This window comes from Homo sapiens, chromosome 2 (genome assembly GCF_000001405.40).
Source record: "Homo sapiens chromosome 2, GRCh38.p14 Primary Assembly".
In the NCBI taxonomy this organism is placed as follows: Eukaryota; Metazoa; Chordata; class Mammalia; order Primates; family Hominidae; genus Homo; species Homo sapiens.
In genome coordinates this window covers 241,119,433-241,134,877 of record NC_000002.12, presented here as the reverse complement: position 1 = coordinate 241,134,877, position 15,445 = coordinate 241,119,433, and the positions used below count along the sequence as shown (strand labels likewise).

General features: G+C 50.0%; 1 protein-coding gene across 8 annotated transcripts in view, besides 6 other annotated features; it reads left to right on the top strand.

Moving 5' to 3' along the window:
- Positions 1-15,445, top strand: part of PASK (PAS domain containing serine/threonine kinase) — a 44,249-nt gene that overhangs the window by 15,470 nt on the left and 13,334 nt on the right. For 7 of the 8 annotated variants that reach the window (NM_001252120.2, NM_001252122.2, NM_015148.4 and 4 more), the window contains 4 exons: positions 1,848-2,004; positions 7,427-8,682; positions 10,745-10,929; positions 11,979-12,146. In NM_001252120.2, coding sequence (NP_001239049.1) covers positions 1,848-2,004; positions 7,427-8,682; positions 10,745-10,929; positions 11,979-12,146 — 1,766 coding nt within the window. Of the gene's footprint in view, positions 1-1,040; positions 1,597-1,847; positions 2,005-7,426; positions 8,683-10,744; positions 10,930-11,978; positions 12,147-15,445 lie in introns of those variants that run through there. The other variant, XM_011510834.2, reaches the window with a different exon arrangement.
- Positions 1,900-1,989: an enhancer, noted in NCBI's record as "active region_17417". NCBI's record gives its function as "activates an Ori minimal core promoter by ATAC-STARR-seq in GM12878 lymphoblastoid cells {active_cell/tissue: GM12878}" and the evidence as "EXISTENCE:reporter gene assay evidence [ECO:0000049][PMID:35858748]".
- Positions 6,707-6,756: a silencer, noted in NCBI's record as "silent region_12527". NCBI's record gives its function as "represses an Ori minimal core promoter by ATAC-STARR-seq in GM12878 lymphoblastoid cells {active_cell/tissue: GM12878}" and the evidence as "EXISTENCE:reporter gene assay evidence [ECO:0000049][PMID:35858748]".
- Positions 6,897-7,206: an enhancer, noted in NCBI's record as "active region_17416". NCBI's record gives its function as "activates an Ori minimal core promoter by ATAC-STARR-seq in GM12878 lymphoblastoid cells {active_cell/tissue: GM12878}" and the evidence as "EXISTENCE:reporter gene assay evidence [ECO:0000049][PMID:35858748]".
- Positions 7,420-7,589: an enhancer, noted in NCBI's record as "experimental_57732 CRE fragment used in MPRA reporter constructs". NCBI's record gives its function as "activates a minimal promoter by MPRAs in K562 erythroleukemia cells, with activity observed for both the introgressed and non-introgressed 2:242066789 variant alleles {active_cell/tissue: K562}" and the evidence as "EXISTENCE:reporter gene assay evidence [ECO:0000049][PMID:34662402]".
- Positions 8,053-8,222: an enhancer, noted in NCBI's record as "experimental_57727 CRE fragment used in MPRA reporter constructs". NCBI's record gives its function as "activates a minimal promoter by MPRAs in K562 erythroleukemia cells, with activity observed for both the introgressed and non-introgressed 2:242066156 variant alleles {active_cell/tissue: K562}" and the evidence as "EXISTENCE:reporter gene assay evidence [ECO:0000049][PMID:34662402]".
- Positions 9,033-9,202: an enhancer, noted in NCBI's record as "experimental_57723 CRE fragment used in MPRA reporter constructs". NCBI's record gives its function as "activates a minimal promoter by MPRAs in K562 erythroleukemia cells, with activity observed for both the introgressed and non-introgressed 2:242065176 variant alleles {active_cell/tissue: K562}" and the evidence as "EXISTENCE:reporter gene assay evidence [ECO:0000049][PMID:34662402]".

The window sequence follows — 15,445 nt, the reverse complement described above, 5'->3', positions numbered from 1 at the left end:
TGGGTGTGGTTCTGGAGTTCCTGGGGCAGGCTGGGGCCCAAGGGTCCAGGTGATGGTGTGGCAGGGGTGTCAGGTGGGGGGGTCTCTGTTCTATGGAAGGACACAGTGGGGGTGAGAGAGAGAGAGTGGCCAGTGCTGGCAGAAAGCACAGCCACCTCGGGGCTCTGCATCGTGGTGGGGCCAGGCGGGTCGGCAGGTGCTGGCTTGCGAGGTTGTCCTGCATGCGGTCACTCGGGTATCGAATGAGTGCGAAAGTGGATTTAATACAGTCACTGAGAAAAACTACAGCTTCACGAGACTGACCAGCCTGGTGAGATAAACATTTACCGTCAGACACTCTTTAGCTGTCTGGGCATTGTGTGAGTTCTTTGGCACATGCGCCCAGCCTCCTTCCCCACAGGGTCTCGCCTGGGGCATTAGAAGCTGGATTGTAACATTTGTTTTAAAAGATACTTTGTTAGGCTGTTGGTTCTCCTTACAATCCCGGCTTTCCTTAGCATGTGGTTCCCTTCATTGTATCTGGGTTTTTCTATCTCAGTCTGTCCTTTATACAAGCTTTTTCCTCTAGCACTAATTATATTCCCCTTCCCCTTTTTCCAGAATTCCAAATTCTGACCTGTGCATGCATGCCTGTGTTGAGTACATGCTGTTTGTCGGATATTTGGTGGTGGGGGGAGGGGATCACATTTCTGTTACTCTCGCATTGTTTCCTTAGGATGAATTCTTAGAAGTGGAACTTCTGGATTCAGGGAATGAACACGTTTGCTAGTTACTGTCAAAAATGCCTCTTGGAGAAGTTATGCCGAACCACCCAACTGTCCTGGTCACAGAGCAGGCTTCTCTCGGCTTGGGGCTAGGGTTCTTTCTGGGGTCGTCCTTTTTTTTTTTTTTTTTTGAGACAGAGTTTCGCTCTTGTTGCTGAGGCTGGAGTGCAGTGGCACCATCTCGTCTCACTGCAACCTCTGCCTCCTGGGTTCAGGTGATTCTCCTGTCCCAGCCTTCCGAGTAGCTGGGATTACAGGGATGTAGCACCATGCCTGGCTAATTTTGTGTTTTTAGTGGAGACGGGGTTTCTCCATGTTGGTCAGGCTGGTCTCGAACTCCCAGCCTCAGGTGATCTGCCCGCCTCGGTCTCCCAAAGTGCTGGGATTACAGGTGTGAGCCACTGTGCGTGGCCTCCCAGGGTCCTTCCTAATGCAGGCTGCTTTCTCTCATGTAACCAAGAGACATACATTCATCCCCTACCACGTGCCAGGCTGCACTGCGTGCAGATGCCCCTGCGCTCACGGGGACTGGAGGGAGCCAGGTGACATGGAGCCCAGGAAGTGGCCAGAGCTCGGGAGGAAGGCAAAGAGGGGAAGAGGGCATGCAGTCTTAGGCTTGGGGTCCCAGGAGGCCTAGGGAAGCCTTGTAGATACCCAGGTACAGCATTTCTGGGATCAGGAGCCATGATCCCAAGGCCTCTAATACTTCAGATATGGCAGGGAGGCCAGGTGGAGAGACCTGGAGGAGTGAGGCCACAGAGTTGGGGGGCCATGGCCGAGACTTCGGCTTCTATCCAGAGTCAGATGGGAGCTGTTGGAGGGTTGTCAGCAGGTGAGTGCCGTGCTCTGACTTGGGTGTTAATAGGATCATGGTAGCTGGCTGCAGGTGTCCTGGGCCAAGGAGCAGGGAGACAGGAGGCAGAGAAGAGGGCGCTGGGTTGGACCTGGGACGCCTGGGGTGGTGAGAGGTGGTCGATGCTGGTCATGCTGTGAAGCAGTCTCAGTGAGTTCCAGGCGAATGAGCAGATTCGTTTTAGGGAGTGCCTGTGAAGAGCAAACGCTCTTTTTTGGTGTTGCTGCCAGATCCAAGGATTAATGTCGTGCTTGCTGGTGGCCACGTTGTGCCCCGAGATGAGATCCGGAAGCTGATGGAAAGCCAAGACATCTTCACCGGGACTCAGACTGAGCTGATTGCTGGAGGCCAGCTCCTTTCCTGCCTCTCACCTCAGCCTGCTCCAGGGTAAGTCCCTTGGTGGGAGGTTGCAGGTTTACTAAAAGTCCAGACAGATGGTAGGTGAATGAGGAACAAGTCAGAGAGAAATGTTCAGCCTATTATTCATAGTAACATTGAAAACTCACATGTGTTGAGCACCTGCTCTCTTCCACACACACTGACTGCTGGGTTTTCTGTGCTGCCTGGCTGAGTCCTTATCAGCCTGTATGGGAGGGCACCATGGTGTTACTGTCTCACTGTAGGGATAAGGAAACAGGCTGTGGAGAGTTCCAGAATGTTGAGGTAGATTTCAGAGAACTGATGGAATCATAATTTTATCATTTTCTTTTTTTTTTTTTTTTTTTTTTTTTTTAGACAGAGTCTCGCTGTGTCACCCAGGCTGGAGTGCAGTGGTGCGATCTCAGCTCATTGCTCATTGCATTGCAAGCTCCGCCTCCCGGGTTCACACCATTCTCCTGCCTCAGCCTCCCGAGTAGCTGGGGACTACAGGCGCCCGCCACCACGCCCGGTTACTTTTTTGTATTTTTTTTAGTTTCACCATGTTGGCCAGGATGGTCTCGATTTCCTGACTTTGTTATCCACCCGCCTTGGCCTCCCAAAGTGCTGGGATTAATTTTATCATTTTCAAAGTCATATGAAGCTGTTCTCTTTGCACATTTTAAAATATTCTATTTAGAGTAAAGAAAGTTTATATTAGAGAATTAGGAACATTTGGAAAAGTAGAAATAAAAACTTGTTCTATTCTCATAGTCGTATTGTACATAGCACGTGTGTGTGTATTTTTAACCCATTTTCTTCTTCGGAATCTTTTTTTTTTTTTTTTTTTTGAGATGGAGTCTCACTCAGCTGCCCAGGCTAGAGTGCAGTGGCGTGATCTTGGTTCACTGTAACTTCTGCCCCCTGGTTCAAGTGATTCTCCTGCCTCAGCCTCCTGAGTAGCTGAGACTACAGGCACCTGCCACCACGCCCGGCTAATTTTTGTATTTTTACTAGAGGCGGGGTTTCACTATGTTGGCCAGACTGGTCTCGATCCCTTGACCTCATGGTCCACCCGCCTTGGCCTCCCAAAGTCCTGGGATTACAGGTGTGAGCCACCATACCTGACCCAGAATCTTTTCTTATGCACAGCATGCAGTAAAGGTGCCCAAACTGTAGGTGCCCAGGTGGCCCAGGACCCTTTCTTGGCTGCCTGCAGACCCTGGGTCCCTTCCTGCACTGTGCCCCCTACACCCTGCTGCCCTGGGTCAGGGCAGAGGTTAGACTGCCTGCCGTTGAGCCTGACGCATGCATTTCCTTCTGTCTGCCTTCTGCTTATTGCTGTGTCTGTGATATTTATCCACATAGTTGTGTTTTCTAGTCTTGAAATTATTTAAAAAATATGTAATAGATACATATAAAGTATGTATGTATGTTTAAAAATATGTAATGCATGGGCCAGGCGCGGTGGATCACGCCTATAATCCCAGCACTTTGGGAGGCTGAAGTGGGTGGATCATGAGGTCGGCAGATGGAGACCATCCTGGCTAACACGGTGCAACCCCGTCTCTACTAAAAATACAAAAAATTAGCCAGGCATGGTGGCGGGCGCCTGTAGTCCCAGCTACTCGGGAGGCTGAGGCAGGAGAATGGTGTGAACCTGGGAGGCGGAGCTTGCAGTGAGCCTAGATCGCGCCACTGCACTCCAGCCTGGGCGACAGAGTGAGACTCCGTCTCAAAAAAAAAAAAAAAATGTAATACATGCATATGTGTTTTTTTAATTATAGAAGAATAATGGTAAAAGCAATAGTTCCCCTGGCCGTCTTCCAATCCCCCTCCTCCAATCCTACTCTTTCCCCCAGGGGACCGCAGTCAGCAGTTAGAGCCTTCCAGGCCTTCTTTCTTGTGCATTTAACTATAGTTGTATATTATACTTCTATGTGTGCATGTGCATATGTGTGCTCACATGTAACTGCTTCTGTTCCCTGAGCACGGCTGGGATTATACCATACACAGTGTCCTAAATGTGTGTGTATGTGTACGCACACACATGTCCTGCAGATCTTCCTCTACAGGCCTCCTCGGAACCGAAGCCTCCTGGATGGCACCCTAGCTCATGGGCCACTTTCCCACTGGCCGATGTGCCGGTGCTTTCTCTTGTTTGCTTAGCCTCCCTGATTTTCCCTTTGCCACTGTGGGTCCGCGTTGAGTGGCGTGAGAGGGTAGCTGTTGGCTCTATTTGCTCTACTTCCACTGCGAGTGGAACAGAGCAGGCGCTCAACACGTGAGTTTTCAATATTACTATGAATAATATTGCTGTGCGCACCTCTCCAGAGGTGCCACCAAGCTGAAGTGGGGCGGCCGTGGTTGAGGGCCCAAGTCTGACCCGTGGGTGCTCAACAGCACTAGCGGCCGGGCCCCCTTGCCAGTGCTCCCGTTGTCTGGGACATCTTGGTGGACAGAGGCCACGTGGCCCGTTGCTATCCTCAGGACCTTGGACACAACTCATCTTCCAGGACTTGGTGGTACCAAGGGAGTTGCCCAAGATCAGCCAATTCCTAGTCTTTCTATTGCATTGGACGTTTCTGGATGTCACAGTTCTGAGAGTTTGATTAGCATCCACTGCACAGCTAGTGCAGTTATGACTATAGAGATTTATCCATTCATTCCCCGCTCAGTCATTCACTCACTCGTTCGCTTATTCAACAAATAAGCATTACAGAAGACTTGGGGTGTGTCCCTAAGAATTGTAGTCTGGTCAGGACAATAAGCTGAAACAGTAAGACAGAACAGGGTTAGGAAGCATGAAGGAAGGAGGTGAGCTGTACGGAGTGCTTTTGTGTTTTAGGGACTACGTTGGGTGCTTCCTCGTAAGTTGTCTCCTTTAGTTCTCCTGGTAATCCTGGGAGTGTAGTCTGATTTTTAGCAAATGGATGCTGAAGCTGAGTGAATTGTTACACTGGGCATCAGGTCCTCGAAGAGACCCCAGGTGATGTGCTCAGACAGCAGGTGGGGGTCTCGGGTCTCCACGGGGGTCAGGTCCTGGTGCTTCCCCACTGGAGGACCTACGGTCCCTGGGGCTGCCCTGGGTTGAGGTCCCAGCAGCTCAAGGCCTGTGTGCAGTCGGCAGATCACATCCTTCATGCCCTGACTGCATGCTGGCCAGAACTGAGTGGCGTGGCGATGCCTGGCTGCCAGGGCAGCTGGAGGATGTCCTCATGTTTCCTGAGTTGCTGTCATGCTGAAAGTCAGAGATCCACAGTTTCACAATCTCTTAGCCAAAATTATGAAATCCAAAAAGCCCCCAACACTGAAATATTTTTCTTAGAATTGATGCTAAAAGCATTGGACGGTCAAATTGGCCCTAAGCACGTGAGAAGCTGTTTGTGGTTTTCCCTTGACCTCTGCAGTTTGAGTGTTCAGAGGCCTTGCTGCAGACACAGGGCAGTGGATGCCCGTGAAGCCCTCTCCCCAGCCTGCTGGGGTCTCCCTAGCAAGTGGTCATATGACTTTTCTGAAATCCCCAAACACATCTGGCCCAAGGGTTTTGATGGAAGGGCCGTGGACCCAGGTGACTGTGGAGAGAACGGGTACTGAGGCTGCAGCAGCCCGCTAAGGCCCCAAGAGCATGGGTGAAGATGCAGTGCTGCCCAGGGGCCTCAGCTTTGTGTCTGGACTGTGCCCCAGAAGTTGCCCAGACTCTTTGGCAAGGGGCTTTGTGAGACCCTCGTGGTGTGCATTCGCCTCCTGTCTTACCTGATCCTGCAGGAGGATGTGCAGTTTCCTAGCATTTGCATGGGGTTTGTCTCAAGCATGGGATGGATGGAGAGCGGGAGAGGGAGGTACAGGGGAGAGAGAGATGGGAGACATGGAGGGAGAGAGGCGGGAGACATGGAGGGAGAGAGGCAGGCAGACGCAGACCCTCAGCCTCCCCCTCAGTTCCCCTCAGAAAACTGCTTTTCCTCAGAACTTGGCTCACAATCCCTTTCTCTGTGGAACCCACCCTTGGGTTGTATCCTTCCTCTTCCGTCTTTTTTTTTTTGAGATGGTCTTGGCCATTGCCCAGGCTGGAGTGCAGTGGTGCGATCACAGCTCACTGCAGCCTAGACTCCTGTGCTCAAGCGAGGTTCCCGCTTCAGCCTCCCAAGTAGCTGAGACTACAGGTGTGTGTCACCACGCTGGCTAATTTTTAAATGTTTTGTAGAGACGAGGTCTCACTATGTTGCCCAGGCTGGTCTCGAACTCCTGGGCTCAGCCTCCCACAGTGCTGGGATTACAGGTGTGGGCCACTGTGCCCGATCCTGTCCTCTTTCTGAGCCTCTGGTATACCTTTATTAGGTTGCTGATGTTAACCTGTGTGTCTGTCCCCGAGTGAGGTGGTGCGGTCACATTCTGTGCATCTGGTGCCCAGTGTCAGTCTGTCATGTGGAGGCCAGTGGCTGGGCTGACAGGAGGCCTGGGTCCCTTGGCTCTGTGATCATCCTGTCTGGACTGTGGCAGCCTCCTCATGGGTCACCATGTGCTGAATGCTGGAGGACATTGTGTGCCACCTCTTAGGAGCCGCCCTCACCAGCCTCCTCTCTCTTTTTCGGCCCGTGTCCCCTTCTTTTTTTGTTTGTGTTTGAGACGGAGTCTCACTCTGTCACCCATCTCACCAGTGAGCTGGTACAATCTCAGCTCACTGCAACCTCTGCCTCCCAGGCTCAAACCATTCTCCTGCCTCAGCCTCCAAGTAGCTGGGATTATAGGTGCCTGCCACCTCACCGGGCTAATTTTTGTATTTTTAGTAGAGACAGGACTTTGCCATGTTGGCCAGTCTGGTCTCGAACCTCCTGACCTCAAGTGATCTGCCCACCTCGGCCTCCCAAAGTGCTGGGATTACAGGCGTGAGCCACCACGCCCGGCCCCCTGGCCCCTGGCCCCTTCTGTGTGGGCCCCATCTGAGAGCCATTTCCCAAATCTGAGAGCCATTTCCCTAGTCGGCTGTGAAATCGGATGGTGTTTGTAGTCAATCAGTTGTTTTTTTACTGTTGTGGAGTTTACCAGGGACTCTCCAATCTCTCTCTCGTTTCCTCTCACACCTCCTCAAGGCAGCAGCACGGACTTCCCCTTGCAGGTGGGGCCGAGGCTAGGCTGCACGGCTGACGGGGGGTTTGGGGGCCCTGAGATGAAGCGAGAGCGCTGACCAAAGCATTGGCAAGTTCTCCTGTACTTTACTGTTGGGCTTTTGGTAGCATTCTCTGCAAAATCATTTCTAAATGTGGACTTAATTTGGAGAAATTTGAGACTAAGTGCTTTATTTTTTAACTTGGTCACAAAATTTGGTCTTTTTCTTGTTATAAATTGGTGGCATTAAATGCTTTGTACTTAGTTCTAATGGAGAATCGGTGCAATCTCTCCTTTTGACTCATCTGTGGCCCTACATGATGGTCACCCATGTCATTATCCCCAGGGTGGACAATGTCCCAGAAGGAAGCCTGCCAGTGCACGGTGAACAGGCGCTGCCCAAGGACCAGCAAATCACTGCCTTGGGGAGAGAGGAACCTGTGGCAATAGAGAGCCCCGGACAGGATCTTCTGGGAGAAAGCAGGTCTGAACCAGTGGATGTGAAGCCATTTGCTTCCTGCGAAGATTCTGAAGCTCCAGTCCCAGCTGAGGATGGGGGCAGTGATGCTGGCATGTGTGGCCTGTGTCAGAAGGCCCAGCTAGAGCGGATGGGAGTCAGTGGTCCCAGCGGTTCAGACCTTTGGGCTGGGGCTGCCGTGGCCAAGCCCCAGGCCAAGGGTCAGCTGGCGGGGGGCAGCCTCCTGATGCACTGCCCTTGCTATGGGAGTGAATGGGGCTTGTGGTGGCGAAGCCAGGACTTGGCCCCCAGCCCCTCTGGGATGGCAGGCCTCTCGTTTGGGACACCTACTCTAGATGAGCCGTGGCTGGGAGTGGAAAACGACCGAGAAGAGCTGCAGACCTGCTTGATTAAGGAGCAGCTGTCCCAGTTGAGCCTTGCAGGAGCCCTGGATGTCCCCCACGCCGAACTCGTTCCGACAGAGTGCCAGGCTGTCACCGCTCCTGTGTCGTCCTGCGATCTGGGAGGCAGAGACCTGTGCGGTGGCTGCACGGGCAGCTCCTCAGCCTGCTATGCCTTGGCCACGGACCTCCCTGGGGGCCTGGAAGCAGTGGAGGCCCAGGAGGTTGATGTGAATTCGTTTTCCTGGAACCTCAAGGAACTCTTTTTCAGTGACCAGACAGACCAAACGTCATCAAATTGTTCCTGTGCTACGTCTGAACTCAGAGAGACACCCTCTTCCTTGGCAGTGGGCTCCGATCCAGATGTAGGCAGTCTCCAGGAACAGGGGTCGTGTGTCCTGGATGACAGGGAGCTGTTACTACTGACCGGCACCTGTGTTGACCTTGGCCAAGGCCGACGGTTCCGGGAGAGCTGTGTGGGACATGATCCAACAGAACCGCTTGAGGTTTGTTTGGTGTCCTCTGAGCATTATGCAGCAAGCGACAGAGAAAGCCCAGGACACGTTCCTTCCACGTTGGATGCTGGCCCTGAGGACACGTGCCCATCAGCAGAGGAGCCAAGGCTGAACGTCCAGGTCACCTCCACGCCCGTGATCGTGATGCGCGGGGCTGCTGGCCTGCAGCGGGAGATCCAGGAGGGTGCCTACTCCGGGAGCTGCTACCATCGAGATGGCTTACGGCTGAGTATGTCCCGGGCCCCATAGGAAGAAGTGTGGTGCTCCCAGAGCACAGTGCAGTGGGGGTGCAGGGCCTTCCTTGTTCTGGGGTCTGATGGGGTTTCACCCTGGAATAGTGTTAGCAGAAATCATGTTTTCAAGGAGAATGCATATCATCCACCCCTAGAAAATTAAGATTACGAATGTGTGTGCCTGGGGAGGGTGGCGCCCAAGGTCCCAGGCCACCTGCCCCATGCCCGTCAGTTCCAGCTGTGCCCCCTGACTCAGGCCATACACTTAGAGAGCCGCTCCTCCCAGCAGCCTGGGGAGATCCCGTCGGGAGCAGGAGAAGCGTGGGGGTGTCACGCTAGAGTCTGTCTCTCCACCTCCCACCAGCCCCCACCTCAGTGGTCACACAGACAGGCCGAGAGGGATGTGAGCGTGGTGAGATGCTCACGTGTTCTTCTTCCGTGCTTTTGGTGTTTAGGCTGCCCTGATCTCTGAAAAACCTGCCCTTCTGTGAGGGTCATGTGATCGGGCCCCTCTGCTTGCCCCTTTGAGATTGATTCTGTTTTACTTTCTTTTTTATTTTCATTTCTTTTTTTTTTTTTTTTCTTTTTTTTTGAGACAGAGTCTCTCTCTGTTGCCCAGGCTGGAGTGCAGTAGCGCGATCTCAGCTTACTGCAAGCTCCGCCTCCCGGGTTCATGCCATTCTCCTGCCTCAGCCTCCCTAGTAGCTGGGACTACAGGCACCCACCAGCACGCCCGGCTAATTTTTTCTATTTTTAGTAGAGACGGGATTTCACTGTGTTAGCCAGGATGGTCTCGTTCTCCTGACGTCGTGATCCGCCCGCCTCGGCTTCCCAAAATGCTGGGATTACAGGTGTGAGCCACCGTGCCCGGCCTATTTTTTTTATTTTTTGAGACAGAGTCTTACTCTGTCCACCCTAGCTGGAGTGCAATGGCATGGTCTCGGCTTACTGCAACCTCCGCCTCCTGGGTTCAAATGATTCTCCTGCCCCAGCCTCCTGAGTAGCTGGGACTACAGGCGTGTGCCACCACACCCAGCTAATTTTTTTGTTTTTTTAGTAGAGACAGTGTTTCACTATGATGGCCAGGCTGGTCTCGAACTCCTGACCTTGTGATCCACCTGCCTCGGCCTCCCAAAGTGCTGGGATTACAGGCGTGAGCCACTGAGCCAGGCTAATTTTTTGTATTTTTAGTAGAGATGGGGTTTCACCGTGTTAGCCAGGATGGTCTCGATCTCCTGACCTCGTGATCCGCCCGCCTCGGCCTCCCAAAGTGCTGAGATTACAGGCATGAGCCACCATGCCTGGCTGTATTTTCCTCATTTCTTAATAGGTCCACATTATTTTAGCCAGTTGTTTCCATATTGCTGATTTTGTAGTGTTGATAGCTAGGGTTTTTTTCTTACACTTAAAAGAATTTTGTAAATAATACGTGTTATTTGTAGAAACATTAGAAATATAAACAAGAAGAAAATAAAATGGGCTGTAAACCCCCACCACCAAAGAAAGCTAACCACACTTATGTTGGTGTATAGCTAGGAGGCTGTGGAAAATGCACACATGCTTTCTCTATGTAAGTGGGTATGGAATTGAATATGGCTGTTAGTGAGTAGAGTAGGTACATGTGTACATGCTTTTAATGTAAGCCATTCACATTCTTGTCACTGGAAGGCCGAAGACCCACCGTGTGTAGGGCACGTTGAGTGCAGGTTCTCCCGGCTATTCTGAGTTGGGGGTTGTCTGCACCCTCCGCTACAGGCCTCTCTGGAGGGCTTCCTTGGCCTCTGGCTGCCCTGAGTGAGGAGGTGTGGTTGTTGCAGGCCTGCAGGCTATGCCCCAGGGGTCTTTCCCTGGCCGGCCCTGACAGCTTTCCTCCAGGCCTTGGTGCTGCCTGCCTCTGCCTGGGCTGCTCTCTGGTCTGTGTTCTGGGGATTGAACTTTCTAACTTAAAGCTGCTGGGGATTGGACTGTTGCATTCTGGGGACTGGACTTTTCTAACCTAAAGCTGCTGTCTAGCCAGGTCAGCACAGGCCTGTGCGTTCTTACCTTCTCACCCTTCAGGTATACAGTTTGAGGTGAGGCGGGTGGAGCTCCAGGGCCCCACACCTCTGTTCTGCTGCTGGCTGGTGAAAGACCTCCTCCACAGCCAACGCGACTCAGCCGCCAGGACCCGCCTGTTCCTTGCCAGCCTGCCCGGCTCCACCCACTCTACCGCTGCTGAGCTCACCGGACCCAGCCTGGTGGAAGTGGGTATTTGCAATCAATGCCTGCCCTGGACTTGCCTTGTACTGTGTGGCAAATATCCTAGTTGGCATCTCTCTCTGTTTCCTTGGGGACGGGAATACAGTCTGTTTGTAGCTTTTTTTTTTTTTTTCTGGGACGGAGTCTTGCTCTTGTTCCCCAGGCTGGAGTGCAATGGTGCTTTCTCAGCTCACTGCAACCTCTGCTTCCCGGGTTCAAGTGATTCGCCCGCCTCAGCCTCCCGAGTAGTGGGGATTACAGGCACGCGCCACCACGCCTGGCTAATTTTGTATTTTTAGTAGAGACTGGGTTTCTCCATGTTGGCAAGGCTGGTATTGAACCTCCTGACCTCAGGCGATCCACCTGCCTCAGCCTCCCAAAGTGCTGGGATTATAGGCGTGAGCCATTGCGCCTGGCCCTCTTTGTAACTTTTCACACTGTCTTTTAATATCCAGTGTGACTATGAAGCCACTTTAGGTCGGGCATGGTGGCTCAAGCCTGTAATCCCAGCACTTTGGGAGGCCAAGGCGGGTGGATCACGAGGTCAGGAGATCAAGACCATCCTGGCTAACACAGTGAAACCCCATCTCTACTAAAAAAAATACAAAAATTTAGCCGGGCATAGTGGTGGGCGCCTGTAGTCCCAGCTACTCGGGAGGCTGAGGCAGGAGAATGGCGTGAACCTGGGAGGCGGAGCTTGCAGTGAGCCGAGATTGCGCCACTGCACTCCAGCCTGGGCGACAGAGCCAGACTCCGTCTAAAAAAAAAAAAAAAAAAAAGAAGCCACTTTAAATCTGCCTAGGCCCATGTATATGGTGGGGTGTAAACACGTTTCGACATGTGTGCCAGTTGGGATCAGTGTGCTGAGGCTGCTTGGGGTGCCCTGTGGAGATAGGCTTTCAGACCTGTCTGAGAGCATGGGAGGAGAGGGGACTGGAGTGCAGGGCACACCTGCCTCGGGCGGCTGCTGAAGACGCAGGGGGACCACTGTGGGTGCTGCACCTCTGCCCGGTGCAGTTGCATGTGACCCCACAGACCTTCTTCTGCATTGCAGGTGCTCAGAGCCAGACCCTGGTTTGAGGAGCCCCCCAAGGCTGTGGAACTGGAGGGGTTGGCGGCCTGTGAGGGCGAGTACTCCCAAAAGTACAGTACCATGAGCCCGCTGGGCAGTGGGGCCTTCGGCTTCGTGTGGACTGCTGTGGACAAGGAAAAAAACAAGGAGGTAACCTGGCTGTGGGGGGGGAGTGGCGCCGGGCACCACTTCACATGGCTCTCGACTTTTGGTCCCAGTTCTCAAACCTGGGGTTTTTGGAGGAGTCCTCTAGGTATGGCACCAAGCACACAACCTGGCATGTGGGCGGTTTCCGGATTCAAAGAGGCTCTCCCAGCAGCACACACGTTGACATCCAGGGTTGCTGATCCCGTCCAATTGTAGATTCAGACCTCGAACAGGCCAGGCTCAGGGCTTCGCCTCCTGCCATTGTGTTGAGATCCCACATCTGGACCTGTGTTCCCTCCTTTCTGAGCCTGGGGCTTGCACCATTCTCCTACTCCCCACTGAGATGCTCATATCTCACGGGCACTGCACATGCATGCTGAAAACATGCTTAATCTTTTCAAATAACCTGCTTTGGGTTTCATTAATTTTTCTTATTTATAATCTATTTTCAATCTTGTGACTTTTCTCTTATTATAAAAAATTTTTTTCATTATTTTTTCTTACTTTGGATTTAATTTTATTTTCTTCTTCTATTTTCCTAAGGTGGTATCTTAGATCATTTATTTGAGCTATGCTTTTTTCTAATATAATCATTTAATGTTTTAATTTTTCTCCAACCCCAGCTTTATCTGTGTATCACATATTTTCATATGTTGTGCTTTCACATTCATTCATTTACAAATACGTTGTTACTTTGTGTTATTTAGAAGTGTGTTGTTTAATTGCCAATTATTTGGTGATTGTTCAGATATCTTTTTGTTTTTAATTTCTTTATAGAGAACATACTTTGTATAATGTCAGTTTCTTTAAATTTGTTGATGCTTGTATTATGTTTTGAAGTCTCTACCTATACTTGTGGATTTGCTTGTTTCCCTTTGTAATCCTCCCAGATTTTACTTCATATATTTGGAAGCTCTGTTGTTATAGGAATACCCATTTAGTATCATAGCATCTTCTTGATGAACTAATTCCTAATTTGATATGCCTTGTTCTGAAGTCTACTTTGATATTAGTATGACTACTCCAGCTTTCATTTGATTTGTGTTCACATAGTAAACTTTTCTCATTCTTTTACTTTTAGTCATTTATGTCTATATTTAAAATGGTCTTCTGTAGGCAGCATACACTTGGATCTTGCTTTTGAAATTCAGTCTGAAAGTCTCTAATTGAGGTGTTTATACCGTTGATGTTTAATGAAATTACTGATATGGCTGGATTTAAATCTATAATCTAAATCTAGATGTTTTCTATTGTTTCTGGATATTTCTGTGCTTTGTTATTTTCCCCTCTATTTTTCCTACTTTCTGTTGACTATATTTTATTATGTCATGTTTTTGTTTCTTGTTAGTTTTTAATATTTCATCATGATTTTTGGCATCGGTATTGAGATATAGTTCACATACCATATAATTCACCCATTTAGAGTGAACAGTTCAGTAGATTTTAGTATATACAGAATTGTGCAACCATCACCACAAACGAAGAACATTTCATGACCTCAGAAAGAAACCTCATACCCATCAGTAGTCAGTCGCATAACCCCCGTCCTGCTCGAATTTCCTCCATCCCATCCTGGGCAACCACAAATCTACTTTCTGTCTCAATAGATTTGCCTATTCTGGACACTTCATATAAATGGAATCATGCACAGCATGCTCTTTTGTCACTGGATTCTTTCATCTAACATAATGTTTTCAAGGTTCATCCATATTGCAGCATGTATAAGTACTTCATTCTTTTTTATGACCGAGTAATATTCCATTATATGAACAGACACCATATTTTGTTTATCCGTTTATCAGCTGATGGACATTTGTGTTGTTTCCATTTTTTGGCCATTAGGAATAATGCTTCTATGAACAATTGTATATAAGATTTGTGTGAACATATGTTTTCAGTTCTAGGCATATACCTAGTAGTGCACTTCATGGGTCATGTCGTAACTCTGTGTCTAATGTTTTGAGGAACTGCTGAACAGTTTTCTAAAAAGGTTATACTGTTTTTACATTCCCATCAGCAGTGTACAAGGGTTCCTGGTCTACATATCCTTGTCAACACTTATTATTGTCTTTTCATTTCTAGCCATTCTAGGGGGTGTGAAGGGGTAGCTCACTGTGGTTATGATTTGCATTTCCCTGATGACTAATGATGTCAAGTGTCTTTTCATGATCTTATTGGCTGTTTGTAAATCTTCTTTGGAGAAATGTCTGTTCTGATCCTTTGCCCATTTTTTTTTTCTTTTGAGACAGAGTCTTGCTTTGTCGCCCAGGCTGGAGTGCAGTGGCACAATCTTGGCTCACTGCAACCTCCACCTCCCAGGTTCAAGCGATTCTCCTGCCTTAGCCTCCTGAGTAGCTGGGATCACAGGTGCACACCACCAGGCCCAGCTGATTTTTGTATTTTTAGTAGAGATGGGGTTGCACCATGTTGGCCAGGCTGGTCTCGAACTCCTGACCTCAGGTTATCTACCCGCCTTAGCCTCCCAAAGTGCTAGGATTACAGGTGTGAGCCACTGTGCCTGGCCCTGCCCCTTTGCCTACTTTTAAATTGGGTTGTCTTTTTATTATTAAATTGTATGAGTTCTGTATTTTAGATACAATTTCTTGATCAGATATATGATTTGCAAATATTTTCTCCATTAAATGTGTTGTCTTTTCACTTTCTTGATGTTTCATTTGAAGCACATTTTATTTTATTTTATTAATTTTATTATTTATTTTCTCACATTGATTGTACTTTATGGATGGTTTATAGGAGGTAAGGACTTTCTGCTTAAAATATTTAAAATTTACATGTGTACACAAACATACACATGTTCCCCCACCCGTGGGGAAGGACAAGATGACTCTGAATAGAGGATGGAGGAGGAGGAGAGGGTGTAGACAGAGGGCCCTTGACTCCTACAGGGGCAGCAGGATAAGGAACAGAGTGGGGCAGAAGGTGGGTTATTAAGAAGCATCTTGCAGGCCGGGCGCGGTGGCTCATGCCTGTAATCCCAGCACTTTGGGAGGCCAAGGCAGGTGGATCACGAGGTCAGGAGATCGAGACCATCCTGGCTAACACGGTGAAACCCTGTCTCTACTAAAAATACAAAAAAATTAGCCGGGCGTGGTGGCGGGCACCTGTAGTTCCAGCTACTCAGGAGGCTGAGGCAGGAGAATGGCATGAACCCGGGAGGCGGAGCTTGCAGTGAGCCGAGATTGCGCCACTGCACTCCAGCCTGGGCGACAGAGCAAGACTCTTGTCTCCAAAAAAAAAAAAAAAAAGAAGCATCTTGCTTACTGACATGAAGCCACATGCCC